At 43.8% G+C, this 14,900-nt stretch overlaps 1 protein-coding gene and 1 long non-coding RNA gene across 5 annotated transcripts in view, besides 5 other annotated features; one reads left to right on the plus strand and one right to left on the minus strand.

The window, feature by feature from the left end:
* Positions 1-993: 993 nt before the first annotated feature.
* Positions 994-4,067, minus strand: ZFAND3-DT (ZFAND3 divergent transcript). 2 transcript variants are annotated; one of them, XR_001744107.2, is made up of 2 exons: positions 3,258-4,067; positions 994-1,678 (listed from the first exon to the last, which is right to left on the minus strand). It is a non-coding gene; the product is annotated as a ZFAND3 divergent transcript (long non-coding RNA). The 2 variants fall into 2 exon arrangements; XR_007059569.1 differs by having other exon boundaries at positions 994-3,170.
* Positions 3,614-4,003: an enhancer, noted in NCBI's record as "active region_24480". NCBI's record gives its function as "activates an Ori minimal core promoter by ATAC-STARR-seq in GM12878 lymphoblastoid cells {active_cell/tissue: GM12878}" and the evidence as "EXISTENCE:reporter gene assay evidence [ECO:0000049][PMID:35858748]".
* Positions 3,973-4,775: an enhancer, noted in NCBI's record as "NANOG-H3K27ac-H3K4me1 hESC enhancer chr6:37787069-37787871 (GRCh37/hg19 assembly coordinates)". NCBI's record gives its function as "activates a minimal SCP1, AML or CMV promoter by ChIP-STARR-seq in naive H9 embryonic stem cells {active_cell/tissue: H9 hESC(naive)}" and the evidence as "EXISTENCE:reporter gene assay evidence [ECO:0000049][PMID:30033119]".
* Positions 4,054-4,433: a silencer, noted in NCBI's record as "silent region_17154". NCBI's record gives its function as "represses an Ori minimal core promoter by ATAC-STARR-seq in GM12878 lymphoblastoid cells {active_cell/tissue: GM12878}" and the evidence as "EXISTENCE:reporter gene assay evidence [ECO:0000049][PMID:35858748]".
* Positions 4,407-14,900, plus strand: part of ZFAND3 (zinc finger AN1-type containing 3) — a 334,898-nt gene continuing 324,404 nt past the window's right edge. For all 3 annotated transcript variants that reach the window (NM_021943.3, XM_011514790.3, NM_001410904.1), the window contains exon 1: positions 4,407-4,696. In NM_021943.3, the coding sequence (NP_068762.1) occupies positions 4,626-4,696 (71 nt within the window). In that variant the 5' untranslated portion in view covers positions 4,407-4,625. The remainder of the gene's footprint in view (positions 4,697-14,900) is intronic.
* Positions 4,474-4,703: a silencer, noted in NCBI's record as "silent region_17155". NCBI's record gives its function as "represses an Ori minimal core promoter by ATAC-STARR-seq in GM12878 lymphoblastoid cells {active_cell/tissue: GM12878}" and the evidence as "EXISTENCE:reporter gene assay evidence [ECO:0000049][PMID:35858748]".
* Positions 4,864-5,033: a silencer, noted in NCBI's record as "silent region_17156". NCBI's record gives its function as "represses an Ori minimal core promoter by ATAC-STARR-seq in GM12878 lymphoblastoid cells {active_cell/tissue: GM12878}" and the evidence as "EXISTENCE:reporter gene assay evidence [ECO:0000049][PMID:35858748]".

Here is a 14,900-nt window from a genome sequence, read left to right on the forward strand (position 1 = left end):
TATAGGGTTCTCTGCTCTCATTCGTCAGTCAGGGTCAAGGGACCCAAGAAAAAGGAGCTAGGGAAAATAACTCAGTGGCAAGGCAAAGAGCCTTTGTTAAGCTCATAAAACTAGAGTTGGGAACTGAGATTAAATTTTACAGATAATATTAGGATTAGAATTAAATCTAGAGTTTGGATTGGACATTGGGGCTAATACTAGGTTAGGATGGATTATAATGATGACAAGTTTTGAACTGAGAGTGAGTTTCAAGGGTAGGGATTAGAATTAGAGTGGAGGATCATCTGCTTTCTCTCAGGTCTCTACAAGTCCCTTCTTTTTGGTAAAGTCTTCCAGGGCTAAGTAGGTCTTTTGAATTCTTACCAAGAAGGCAGCCATTGTTTGCTCCTGACCTTGAATCATACCAGGCTCTTTTCTATACACCCTCAGTTCCTACTTCAAAAGCTCTGGCTGCTGAAGAATTAATATTATCCTTTACTAGACCCCACTGAGCACGTAGATGGCTCCTTTTGGGCCAATGGTGATTGCAAACTACTCCCAGGAGTCACATCACAGGTTCATCTGGAACATAATACACGACAGAAAATAGTCAAGACAATTACGACAAAAGCACTCTGCCAATTACCCCCACACTTTGCTCCCCTAATTTGATGATGCCCTGAAATTTTATGTCCTCTCTGAGCTTTCAGTCAACTAAGTGGGCTTGTTATAGGAATTGGATCAAGGGCTCTATAGATAGAGACACTGGGAACTAAGAGTAAAGAGTTATCTGGCTAGGAACGTCATAAGCAGCAGCTAAATACTGTCTCATCTCATACAACTTCAGTGTGACAAAAAAGCTGGCAGCCTTGTGATGAATGAGGTCAGAAAAAAAAAAAAGCAGAGAGCTTCAATGTCTTCTAGGGAGGGTGGGTTGGTAACTAAGACATTCCCCCAGGATTGTCTAACTATGACTCCAATCCATTTGTGGGTCTCACATTGACTAACAAATTATTGTGCTTTTATTCATACAACATTTATTGAACGCCTCCCAAATGCACCTTGAGTATTGTGTATATCACAGTAAACAAAACAGACATGATTTTTGGAGAGGAGACTCACAAATACATATTTAAACTATGATAGGTACTATAAAGAAAAAGAGTGCCATGTAAGATAATAATGGGGCCACCAAATTTTGATTGGGGCTTGGGTCAGGGATGACTTCTTTGAAGGAGTTCCATTTAAATTCAGGTCTGAATTTGTTTAAGTAGGAGTCAGTCTGTTGAAAATCCTTAACATGTCAATTGTTCTTTATGCTTTTGAAGTTCAGCTGCAATTTACTCCTTTATGGTCTGTGGTGGACATTTTTTGGAATCTTTGCCAAGTACATAACTTTGAGAACATAGCCTACAAAGATGGGGTTCTGGCAGCCATGTCTGCTTTACAAAACAAAAAGACCTGACTACATAACTGCCCTGTTGGTCAAAGGTGATTGTACCAAGAGTACACAAGCGGACATAAATCGAACCAATCAGTTTCTTTCTCCTGGGGATTGGGATTCATAGATACTAATTAGTCTCTGTTTGTTCTTGAAGTGAGGCTGGGTAAACCTGGATTACGTTCCCAAAAAAGCAGTGAAAACAGCTCTGCCGAGATTATAAAGCAGCTTTGTAGAGAGAAGCAGAGATGGAAGAACCTGTAACCAGAGAGAAAAAGATATCGAAAAAAACCAAACACTTGGCTTCCTGTTGATGTATTAGGTACCTATTTCAGTCCTTCATGCGATCTTACTGCTCTCTGTGTCCTTGGGTTGTATAAGATTATCTCCTTGTGTTGTGTGTATACATATAAAGAGAAAAGGCAGCTGAAGCAGTCAGGAACAGGAGGACAAAGGAATGGAGATGTGGGAAAGCAAGGTATTTGAGGAATGGCAACTAGTGTCTGCTTCGCAGAGTGAATAGAGAAGAGTAGAAAATGAAGTCTGAGAGGAAGACTGGAACCAAATTATCTACATTATATGTAGGGACCTGCTGGTGAATGCTACATTTTATTAATCCTTTTAGTCTCCAGAGTGCTTAGCAAAGTCCTTGTGTATACTGGGTACTGAATAAATGTTTGTTGAATAACTGGCAAACAGGAAAGCAGTTTGGAAAATGACAATCACTTTTTATGTTGAATTCTCCTTTTAGTTGTCGAGTTTCCTTTTCTGTACATAAAAGAAAATCATCAAGATGCCAAGAGAGATAATCCCACTTAATCTTTGTTAAACTCAAAGGCTGTTAAGTATCTCACGCATGTGGGAATTTTATGTCGGCTTAAATGAAGATTTAAGGGTAATATGAATCCAATGAGAGCAAGGTGTGCTGTATGGCTTTATCCTTTCTATGCATTTTTTCTTTCTTTCTTTCTTTTTTTGAGACAGAGTTTCGCTCTCGCTCTTGTTGCCCAGGCTGGAGTGCAATGGCATGATCTCGGCTCACTGCAACACCCGCCCTCCGGGTTCAAGCGATTCTCCTGCCTCAGCCTCCCAAGTAGCTGGGATTACACGCGTGCCACCATGCCCGGCTAAGTTTTTGTATTTTTTTTTTAACTAGCGACGGGGTTTCACCATGTTAGCCAAGCTGGTCTCGAACTCCTGACCTCAGGTGATCCACCCGTCTTGGCCTCCCAAAGTGCTGGGATTACAGACGTGAGCCACAGCGTCCGGCTTTTTCTATGCACTTTCTTACAGATATACTTATTGAAGGCTTTGGAAAATCCACCAAATTAAAACTAAACATTGTGCATAATAAATCAGCACTCACATTTTAGGGTGTTTTGGCTTTAAGTGCTTGATTTTTGCAATCATTAACTTCACCATCAACAGCATCTGTGGCATATTAAGCTAAATGCGATCCTTGCTCTTTAGAGGCCAAAATAAACATCAATGTTAACAAACCCACACAGTATGCACAAACAGAAATGTGATTTGGTATATAAAGAAATAAGATAGCAACATTTGGTAATCAAATTAATCTAGGTAATAGTCTCTCTGAGGCTCTGATATACCCGACAGGCAAGGAGGGTATACGGCAGCTATTCCTAAGAGCCAGGAAGTCTTCCTCAGCGATGGGTCTCCAAAAGGTCTGGAGGATGTTGCCTCCGTGTTGAATTAGTCATCAATAATCGATTTCTCTGTTCATGACTAACTGGAGATCAGAATGAGCTCAGGATCAAGGACTAGGATCGTTAAAGGACTCATTTTTTTAGTGTCTCAAACTTCTTTGGTCACTTACCAATTTCCATTACTGATTCAGCTACAGCTCCCCTTTCCCCTCCAAAAACCAAACGTGTCAGCTGTAGGAAGAAGTGCGGCTCTCCTAGCCTGGGCATAGGGACTCGCCTGGGCATAGATAATGTACTTGTGGCTCTGTGGTTGGGAGTGGAGACAAGGAACTCCCCAACACCGGTGGGGGAGAAGAGACAAGGAAGTTGCCCCAGACAAGGGGCTGGGGGAGGGGCATTTCCCAAAAGTTCCTGTCAAGAGACCAGTATACCGGGTGGAACTATAAGAGTTGTTTGGGTGTGGCGGGACCAGGAAGAGAGAGAGAGATGCCCAGGGAGTTGGCAAATTGGGGAGAATGGCTCCCCGGAATCGCCCAGGAGCCAGAGCGGCAGCTCCAGGGACCTTGACTCCGACGCCCCCGGGAAGCCAGAGCTCCACTTCCGCGTTTGGCATTGCTCCCCCAGGCCCCTCCTCGCACTCGGTTACGGGTTCTACGGGCGCATGCGCCGCCACTCTGGGACTGGCCCAATTTACCCTACACAACTAATCTGCTCCTCCCCCTCCCGCTTGGAGCGCACCATTCGCGTTTAGGGGGAGGCACCGCGCCCCGGAGTACTCAGAAACCTGCTCCCCTTCTTCAGACAGGGGGAAGATAAGTTTGCTTCAGATTCTAAAAGTTCTAAGAATACGAAGGCCTCAGCCGCCCGTCGCCGGGCGACAGCCCGAGGCTCTCGTTTTCTCCCACAGCCCCGCACTCCGCCTTTGAGGCGCGGAACGAAGTGGCACGCCCGGATCCCAGCTGATCAGCGGCTGGGCTTTGGCGTTGGCTCCCCCGGGCGAGACCATTGTGACTCCTCGGGAGGGGCGCACGCCGGGGAGGGGGCGGAGCGGCCATTGTCCGGTCAGCGCAGCCTCCGGGGGAGGGGACGGTGTTACGGAGACAGCAGGGCCCGGGGCTTCAGAGCGGCCGCTGCGACTCCGGAGCCGGCGGGGGGCTCCGGTCCTTCCCTGCGCCACCGCACAGGACATCTCTCTGGCTGGGGAGCGGCGGTGAGACCCGCCGAGGGCGTCTGTGTCCCTCCTCCCCCGCGGTCCTCGGTGCGTCCGCACGCCCCTCCTCCTCGGCTCCCTCCTTCTTCTCTCCGCGCCTCTCCGCCCCCTCCCCGTCTCCGCAGGCCGAGTGGTGCGGCCCGCCTCCAGCTGACCGGCCTGGAATCCCGGCTCCGAGCCCCGGACTCGCGCCCGCCCGCGCGCCCGCTCCTTCCCCCTCCCCCCGCCCCGAGCCCCCCGACGCCGCCGCCACCGCCTCCTCAGAGCGGGGCCCGGGCCCAGCCGCCGCCACCGCTGCCGCCGCCGAGCTCCGCCGCCGCCGAGCACCATGGGAGACGCTGGGAGCGAGCGCAGCAAAGCGCCCAGCCTGCCGCCTCGCTGTCCCTGCGGCTTCTGGGGGTAAGTGCCCGGCCGGGTGGGGGCGGGGGGCGGGGGCCGGGGGCGCAGACGCCAGGGCAGCCTGGGCAGGCCTCGGGGCCCGGGAGGCCGGAACCTTGGAGGCTGGGCCCAGCCCGGGCCTACGGGGAGGGGGTGGGGGTCGCGTTCCGGGGAGGGGTGCCGGGTGGGGAGCTGGGGGTGGGCAGAGAAGGCCCTGCCGGGGGTGCGTTGCTACCCTTTGGGACTCGCCGGCCTGAAGCTCGGGCCCACGGGGGCCTCCTGGGCCACGGGTGAGGGGGGCAGGGCGGCGGGGAGGGATGAGGGGGCGGCGTTGACCGCTCCGGGAGGAGCAGGGGTGCCCCTTCCGTGGGCATGTGGAAGCCAGCCCTTCCTCCCTCCCGGGGCGTGAGTTGGTGCCCAGGCACTAGGAGGGTATTTCCTCTGACTTCTTCACCTCCCCTCCTCCCCGTCCTCCGGAGACTTGCATCATCACTTCCTAGATTATATCCCAGTGCCCCATTTGCTTTTAGGAAGCTATTCACACGTCACCCGTTTGTAAAAACCGAGTCCAGAACCAGGCTGGGGTAAAGTTATAAGATTGTTGAGGTCTCACCTTCATGTAAAACACGTTTCAGGAGATATGTAAAATTTCCTTGTCAAAAAGGAAGAAAAAAACCACACAAAACCTGAAGTCAGCCTGGATTGGGGAATATGAGATCCAGTTTCCTCAGTTGGCTCTCAAATTCTCCTCTTTCTCAATTTAAGTAAAAATGATAAAAATGTTGACAGTGGGTAGCATATATTGTTTGGCCATCATGTGTTAAGGCGAAAAAAATGTGAGGTGGGAAATCAGCTCCTCTTCCTCCCCCCATTACTGTTTAAATTCTCCTGGTAACACTTTAAGCTTCATGGATTGCCACCTAACAGGTGCCTCCATCATACCACATGACTGTAGTTCTGCAGTAAGAAAGCTGGAGACTTTGAAGGCTGGCTTTTGTGATTTGAGTCCCTTTTCTCTTTTATCGTTTTGTTTTAGTTTTATTTTTTGAGAGATTCCGTATATTTGGAGACATAGAGGCAGGAAGGAAGATTGTTTCTGGTGAGGACATCTTGGGAAGAAGTATGGAAGTAGTTTTCCCTTTGCTATCTCCCATATTGTAGGAATGGTTAACAGAAATTAAGAGTAATTTTGGGAGTGCAGAGAAAGATTAGAAAGTGGATCTTAATGTAGACTTCTGTGGAAGTTGTCGTATCTCAAGGTTATGACAAAGAAGTGGATTTTCATTTTCTCATTTTTCTGCCTTTCTCAAAAATTTCCCTGTGGAAGGACATTAGTCAAAAATAAGTTGTGGCATATAAAAAGTCCTAAAAATGTGAAAATATTTCTAGTCTTCCCTTCATTTTGATTTGAAAATAATTGGTTTGCCTGTGAAGTGCTTTCATGGACTGTCTAATTCCCACAAGAATCTTGCGAGGTAGGAACCATTATCTCATTATTAGCTGGGGAAACTGAGGCTTTGGGTGGATAATTTGCCGCTTCACACAGGGAGTGTAGGGTGGAGCTGGTGAGCTCTTTAGAGTGCGTAGTACCATCATGTTTATGGTATCAGTCTGCTGCCCTGGAAAAATCTTGTGTCACAAGCCTCAGATTGTAACTCATTGTAAGACATATGTCCTAAAGAAAGTCGCTGCCAGTGGCAGCTAATGCTCAGGATGTATCAGGTCTCTTTCCTGGCAACACGTTTATGTCCTTCGGACTGTTACCATGAATGGAATCTTTATCGAAAGACTTATATCAAGGCTTAGAAACTAAGGAAATGGAATAGCCTTTTACCTTTATTTATTTATTTATTTTTGAGTCGGAGCCCTGCTCTGTTGCCCAGGCTGGAGTGCAGTGGCGTGATCTCGACTTACTGCAGCCTGCACCTCCCGGGTTCAAGCAGTTCTCCTGCCTCAACCTCCCAAGTAGCTGAGACTGCAGGTGCACACCACTATGTCCGGCTAATTTTTGTGTTTTTTAGGAGAGACGGGATTTTGCCATGTTGGCTAAGGTGGTCTCAAACTTCTGACCTCAGGTGATCTGCCTGCCTTGGACTCCCAAAGTGCTGGGATTACAGGCATGAGCCACCGCGCCCGGCCAGCCTTTTACCTTTAGCCGGTAGGGTTCTGATAATGCCAATAGAGTTTGGTGGCAGCAGACAGGAAAAGTTACACTAATGTTGTACTTGACCTATAAGCAACCAGGGCTTCTTTTTAGATATTTTCAGTCTGATACTTTTTATGAACTTCAGTTTACCTAGCAGGAGTAGTGACCACAAAACTAGTATTTTTATCGTGAAAAGTGTTCTTTTTGGTGCAATGTTTTAACCTTTCCTAAGGACGTTTGTAGACAATTGTGTAGTTTGTATTTTATACCAAAGCATAGCAACATTGCCGCCTTGTTTCCATCGTATCACAACTGACTTTGGACATGTTTCCCTTACTGTATGGGCCACATTCATATTTTGTTCACTGAGTAAACTTAGAATATATTTAACAGATATTTGAATGCCTGTGATATAATGGTGGGCAAGGAGGTGCTGGCCCCATACTCTGGGGCAGGGGGCACAGGGAAGTAAACTGACAGTTGCAATACGTTGTACAGGTGCTCTAGGGGAGGGGCACCTACCCTAGCTGGGGTGGAGGTAGAGGAAAGTAGCCTGGAGAAAGTGACACTTTAGCCTAGACCCACAGGAAGGGTAGAAGTAGAGTATGGAAACAAATATTCCTTTCAGGCAGTGGGACTAACATGGGTGAAGGCCGGGATGTGAGTGAGAGCACTACTCATTTGAGGAACAGGTTTGTTGGGTCTGTTGATAGATTGTGAAGGGGGATCACAATCTAGAGATAAGGGGGTCTGTTGGTAGATTGTGAAGGGTGATCACAATCTAGAGATAAGGCTGGGGAATTGAGAGGAATTGGTGATCCAGGGCCCTCATAGCATTGTAATGCTGAGGACTTTGGACTTTTATCCTGAGTGCAGTGAGGAGCTACTCAAGAACTTTGATCAGGGAGTGATGTATATCTTTAATGTGAAAGACTATTGGTGGTTCTTGAGAATGGCTTGGGTGTGTGGGTATGACTCTGTGTGTCTGTATGAATGTGATATACGTGTTTCCGTGGAACGTTGCCAAGTCCAGATTTGCCCTGTGGTGGCGTGAACCAGTGTAATGCCTGGGGAGAATAGAGCGAAGTACATAGAAGTGAAAGCCATTCAGGAGGTATCTTTTGCCTTTTCCCTTCATGAAAATGAAGGTGAATATGTTTTAAAAATTTTATGCAGCTTTGCACTCCTTGGAAGCTCTAGGTCTAAAGTCAGCTAGCCAGGGCGCACACCCAGCCCTTTGCTGAGGAGCCTCTCAGCAGAATGTTTTGGCTCCGGCAGACTAACGGCAGTTCCTTTAGGATTGCTGCTCTTTCGAGTGACTTAGGCTGCAGGACTTGCTGCCCAGCATTGCCCAGTCAGGACACTAATCAGTGTGGCTCGGTTGAATAGGAGAGCTTTAACTGCATTCTCTTGTGAGAATGCAGTTGAAGAATGCCAAGAGGAGTGTACAATTCAAATGCGTTAGTGCTTGTAACACGTGGTTCCAGTTCTCTCCCTCTTGGCTTGTATGGTATAAATTGTGTACAGGTAATTAAGTTATTTTATAGAGGCCATCTCCACTGGGAAACTTTGCTGCCATGGAAATTGTTGAATATTAACCAGTTGATGATAAAGTTGCAAGTTGTTTGTATTATATATGTATTTTTTTGTATTTTTTTTTGGGGGGGGGTAGGAAGTTTTGCTCTCATTACTCAGGCTGGAGTGCAATGGCGCAAGCTTGGCTCACCGCAACCTCTGCCTCCTGGGTTCAAGTGATTCTCCTGCCCCAGCCTCCTGAGTAGCTGGGATTACAGGCACGTGCCACCACACCCAGCTAATTTTTTATTTTTAGTAGAGACGTGGGAGACTGTTATCGAACTCCCGACCTCAGGTGATCCTCCCGCCTCGGCTTCCCAAAGTGCTGGGATTACCGGCGTGAGCCACCGCGCCTGGCCGGTATATATTAACGTCATATTTTTAGGATTAAAACAAATTTTTCTTGGAGACATGGACTTAAAACTTTAAGTGAAATATGAACATTTTCTTGGCTCATTTTAGGCATTTAGTACTCAGGCAAAAAACGTATTTGTTGATAATTGTTGTATCTGAAATGAAATAGTCAATTAGTACACTTTCTTTAGATGAAATATACACATACACGAAAACACTTTTAAACTATACAGATATAAGTGGTATTAGTTGAAGCTGTATTTTAAATTATTTAGACATTTAAAAAGTGCTGAGGTGTGTAGATTCTTCACAAATGTGAAGACCTAGAATATTACAGAAAAGATAGGAAGAAAAATAAGTATAAGAATATAGTATGTGTATTATAGGATAATAGGGTAATTAGGATGGAAGATGGAATTGTTTTCTAATTCTATTTAAGTACAGAAATATAATTACTATTGATATTTTGCTTTTACAATTGGAGATAATCTCGTGATGACATATGGAAACCTTGGGAATTACTATTTTGTAAATAAGCTTAAAGCGTACTAGACATAAATGTTCAGTCTGGTATTTAGAGAATAATGGAATAGTTAAATATGGGGCTTATTAGGTAAATTATTCATTGTTTTGATTTTAAAAAAGAAGCTCTTCTAACAAGTCATGACAAAGCAAATATCATATGGGTTCATTTTCTTTAGGGAAATAGATTTTGTTAGTATTTCATTTTTATAATCATTGCTGTTGAAGCATTTTGCCTACAAACTAAATTGGCTGGATAAAAGATGTACTTTAAGATAGGGATGGGTAGAGATAAGGATAGGGGTAATCTCCTAAAATAAATTTCATTTCTGAAATCGGTAATAATAGAAAGTTGATTGAAAACATAACATGATTTGTTTTATTCCACTTTATTTTTGGCAATCATAAGATACTGACTAGTTTAGAATCAATGTATATATTTTTTCCCTCTGAGCCCAGGCTTAGTGAATTGCTGTCAAACATCACCTTTGTTACTGTCACTGTGTAGATCATCTAGCTAGTGTGCTTGGCTCCTCATAGTGTGTGGACTTCACACTCATTTTGCCTCTTCAGTCTCAGTCTCCCAATTGTAACATGTTGCCACACTTTAACCAGCTTAACTTGGGCTTTCAAGATCATGTGAACACAGTATGAATTACTAATCAGTAGAATGTTCGTTCCATTGATGTCACTACTTATCCCTTGATTATAAAACCCCCTTAAACATTCTATTAAAAAACAAAATGCTTGCTTGTGGAGTTTTACTTTGCATCTTTGAGTATTGTGTGCATCTGAAGATAAAACATGATTTAAATTAAGTATTCACTGTCGGTTCATTTATCTGCTTGCCCTATTTTCCTCATTACATTTGGGGGATTCAGAAAATAGGAAACTCGTCCCTTTGATGTGATGGAACACAGGGAAATAATTTTTTTTTTTAATTTAAAGAAACATAGTCTTCTTTCTATTGGTTTGAGGCAATAGCTTTTTAGAGTTAGGTCCAGTTAGCATATGGCTCTTTTGGTTTTATCATCTTCTCTTCTCCATTTACCGTCTCCCACTCTTCCAAAATAGAAGAGAATTCTAAACTTTAAATCATACTGAAAAGTTTTGACTAAAAATCTCTTTATAATCCTTAATGGTATCAAAATTAACATTAGTTTTCACAAATTAACCTTTCCTTGCTCTAAAAATCAGAGAACTAAGAAGGCTTTGAAAAGAATAAAGTCCTTAAAAAGAAACCAAGAACAGTATATAAAAGATTATTTATTTAGAACAGAATACTTAGAGGGTGAGAACTAATATCATTTGGATTTTTTATTAGGTCATAGGGAGGTTCTGTCCATGCAAAGTGATGTAGTATTTTGAATTCTTGCAATAATCACAGATTAAAATTGAGGTTAAATATTGTTGTTTTCTTTTTCACCCAGGCCTGGGACTGGCAGGCTGCATGGCTTTGTGGCTGAGGCTGGAAGCAGAGCCTATCAAAGTCCCCTCTCTTGCAAAAAAAAAAGAAATTCTTTTCTGTTTTTGAAGAAAGGTTAAGGTTGATATCTCAGCAAAGCTACTTGAAGGAAGTGATTGGTCTTGACCCAGCACTTGTAATGCAGTACTTACAAAATCATCCAGATTCTGGCTTTTTGGATTTCGTGGGACTTTGTGTCAGAGTGGTTTTCAAAAGAGGGCCTTCATTCCAACTGTGTGGATGACACTGATGTTACTCAATTTTTCTAGGGTTTCTGAGGAACAGCGATCCTGCTCTGGGCTGGGTCCCTGTGTAACAAGATTACATTGCTGAGTGAGATATTTAAACATAAGACATTTCCTGTAAGTGTCATATGCAGAAAAGGAGGTTAAGGAACTTTATTTACAGTGTCTTGGCTGGATGCTGTGGCTGGCGGCTGTAAACCCAGCACTTTGCGAGGCCAAGGCGTGAGGATCACTTGAGGTCAGGAGTTTGAGACCAGCCTGAACAACATGGTGAAACTCCGTCTGTACCAAAAATAAAAAAATTAACTGAGGTGGTGGCATGCTCCTGTAGTCTCAGCTACTTGGGAGGCTGAGGCAGTAGATTCGCTTGAATCCAGGAGGCAGAGATTGTAGTGAGCTGAGATTGTGCCACTGTACTCCAGTCTGGGCAACACAGTGAGACTCCATCTCAAAAAAAAAAAAAAAGTGTCTAATAATCAGAATCTAAAACTGTATCCTAGAATGGCACTGCCCAGTATGGTGGCCATTAGCTGTAAGTAATAATTTAAATTCAGATTAAAGTTAAAAATGTGGTTTCTCAGTCACAGTAGCTACTTTTAAGTACTCACTAGCTCAGTAACTAGTGATTACCCTATTGAGGAACACAGATATACAACATTTTCATCCTTCAAGAAAGTTATGTTGGACAGTGCTGTTCTAGAATGTTGACTGATGGGCAGCCAGAATTTTCAAGCCTGTTTTCTTGTGGGCTCTCTAGATCCCTTTTTTTCTTACATTCTGAACATGAGGGACTTAGCTAATTTAGCTCTAAATTTCTTTCCGGCCCTAACATAGTTTATTTCCACTGGGAGAAGCAATGCTATTGTTAATCCAGATTACTGGGATGTGTTCCTTTGGTCAGGAATGGGAATTAACATTTCAGTAATGGGAATTATAATGTAGTCTGTAATTTGAACCTTTTTTGAAGTGTTACTTTTGAGTCAGACATTTTAGCTCTTTTAGCACTGTTAAACTGGCAACCTCAGCGGCTTGTACAGGGAGGTATTGGTCTAACAATCAGTTTCTTTTTGGTTCAAAGAATTTTTGAAGCTACTCACCTTTTTGAAAGTTGATAGGTTGTAGATAGGCTCTAGTTAGCTTTTATGACTTTTGTGGAGGAAAAATATTTGTTTTCACAAATGTAAATCTCATGGCAGCTTTTTATATGTGATTAGGGATAAGTGCATTGGATTTTCTGGTAAATTCAGGTTACCATATATAGAGAAAGGTGGGGTATATTGGAATTTCCAGCAGTAGTGGACAAAACCAAACTGATCTGTGATGCACCCAGGCTAATAGAAATAAGTGAATGAAAATGCATGTCATCCATGAGGCTGAGGGACAGAGCTGCAACAGTGCCAGGCACCTGAAGTTTTGGCTACAGCTATTAACTCGAGGGATGATGTACTAGCTAACTACATCTGTTCATTTAGCTGTACCAGATGTCCCATATCATAGGCAAGTTCGAATTTATTAGGGCAGAAGAATGTCCTGGGAGAGGTCATTGATGCCACTTGCTACCGCTCTGGCCTTGGATGGAAGAGGAGGGCCAAGCCACACCAGAGCATTTTGTTTCCAGGTTGTGGATAAGCTCTAGTTAGCTTTATTGATACTTTAGTCATTACCTGGCAGAGTGAGGTTGGTGATGTACTTAGGACCTTTTTGGGAGTGTCTTTTCTCATTTATTTCTGCTGAAGTAGAGTGGTGTGGAGGAACAGCTGTTGATGTATCTGCTTCTTGGACTCTTACACACTGATAAGTTGAAGTGCAGTTGCATAAAATAATCACACTCACAGCCACACTTCCTGGAAGGAGAAACATTCTGACCGTTCAAGAATATCACAAACACTCTTCCTGTAGTCAGCTTCTTTGTCCAGGCACTTGGTTTTATTCATTTATTTTTTACAAGAAAGTAAAAAAAAATTTCTGTGGCTTATGGTACCTAACTGGAAGAGTGGAGGCAGGAAGTTGAGGAACACAGAGTGGGTGGTGGGCTTTGCTGTCAGTTCTGTGCTTTGAAAGCTTTTATCTATTTCAGATCATAATTTTTTAATGGCAGCCCTTTCTAGGATGCTTTCGGCAGAAAAATGTACTGGCAAAATCGTCTCCTGAAAAGATTTACGATGAGACACATAAAGTACATTGAGTAGTATAGTTATTCTTAAACTAGTCATAAGAGTATTAACTAGCAATAAATAATAAAAAATAAACCAGAGGTAGGAGAAGGTATGGTGATTTCAATGTGAGTTGCTTTTGGATTTATGATTTCTTGGTTTCTGTGCCTAAGGAGGCATGGATGGTATTATTTTCTTTTCTTTTTTTTTTGAGACGGAGTCTCGCTGTGTCGCCCAGGCTGGAGTGCAGTGGCGCCATCTTGGCTCACTGCAACCTCTGCCTCCCGGATTCAAGCCGATTTCTTCTGCCTCAGCCTCCCGAGTAGCTGGGACTACAGGTGCCTGCCACCACACCCGGCTAATTTTTTGTATTTTTAGTAGAGACGGGGTTTCACCGTGTTAGCCAGGATGGTCTCAATCTCCTTACCTCGTGATCCGCCCGCCTCGGCCTCCCAAAGTGCTGGGATTACAGGCATGAGCCACTATGCCCGGCCTGGATGGTATTATTCTTTTTCTTCAGTTGCTGCTGAAATCTAAAAAAACCAGGTTTTTCAAGTCCTTATGTGTTCGTGTGTGAAACTTTGCTTGTACATACAAAATTTTTACATTGTTTAACTTTACTGCATGCAGTTTAGTTTGCCTTTTCCTTTTAATATAACTTAAAGGTATTCTCTTACGAAGTGGAGAACTGTTCTGTGGACTGATCAGCAGTGGGTTTGAGCCTGTAAATCGCCACTGCACTCCAGCCTGGGTAACATAATGAGGCTTTGTTGCTTTAAAAAAAAAAAAAGTGGAGGATGCCAGACTTGGTGGCTCATGCCTGTAATCCCAGCACTTTGGGTGGCTGAGGTGGGCAGATCACCTGAGGTCAGGAGTTCGAGACCAGCCTGGACAACATGGTAAAACCCCATCTCTACTGAAAATACAGAAATTAGCTGGGCTTAATGGCCTGCGCCTGTAATCCCAGCTACTCGGGAAGCTGAAGCAGGCGAATCACTTGAATCAGGAGGTGGAGGTTGCAGTGAGCCAAGATTGCACTACTGCACTCCAGCCTGGGCAATAGAGTGAGACTCCGGCTCGAAAAATGAAATGAAATAAAATAAAATAAATGGAGAAGTGTTTTTGTATATTGACCCACAAAAATACTTGCATGTAGAAACTTTTAATTTTTTTTATTGATTTGGGAGGACATGTTCATGTAGTCTCTGAGGCCTGAGTTCCCTGTTTCTGTGGATCAGTCACTGTTAACTAGCTCACCCTGTTCCCCCAACCTCACCCATGCTGTAGCACTTCCAATATGTGCTTAAAACCGTGCATTTTATTTGTAAGGCTGATGATCTTCTTCAGGGAATATTGAGCAGGATCTATTAAGGAACAGTTGCTTTGACTTAAATGAAAAAGTCTTTGCAACTGACAGATAAAATCTTGAGTGAAAATGTGTGGAGTACTGCACTCTTGTATAGTAGGATCTCTTTAGGGGATCTCAAAAATCCTGATCTGTGGAAGTGTATGTCCCTACAAACTGCATTTTCTTACCCTTGGTTTTAAACTTTCTAGGATTATATATTCTAATATGATAGTTGAAAGCCACCAAATTTACCTAAATAGTTTTCATTCTAAATAAATTAGATTTTTACATTGTGTGTGTTTTTGGTTGGAGTTAGGGACAGGAAGAGTAGACTGTTGGTTTTGTGTTTAAAGTTGCGGTGCAGAAAAGTCATTGGACAGAGATCTGTGTAATTTGGAGGTGAGTTGGAAGGGAAAG

The sequence above is a fragment of the Homo sapiens genome, chromosome 6, assembly GCF_000001405.40.
Source record: "Homo sapiens chromosome 6, GRCh38.p14 Primary Assembly".
Lineage (NCBI taxonomy): Eukaryota > Metazoa > Chordata > Mammalia > Primates > Hominidae > Homo > Homo sapiens.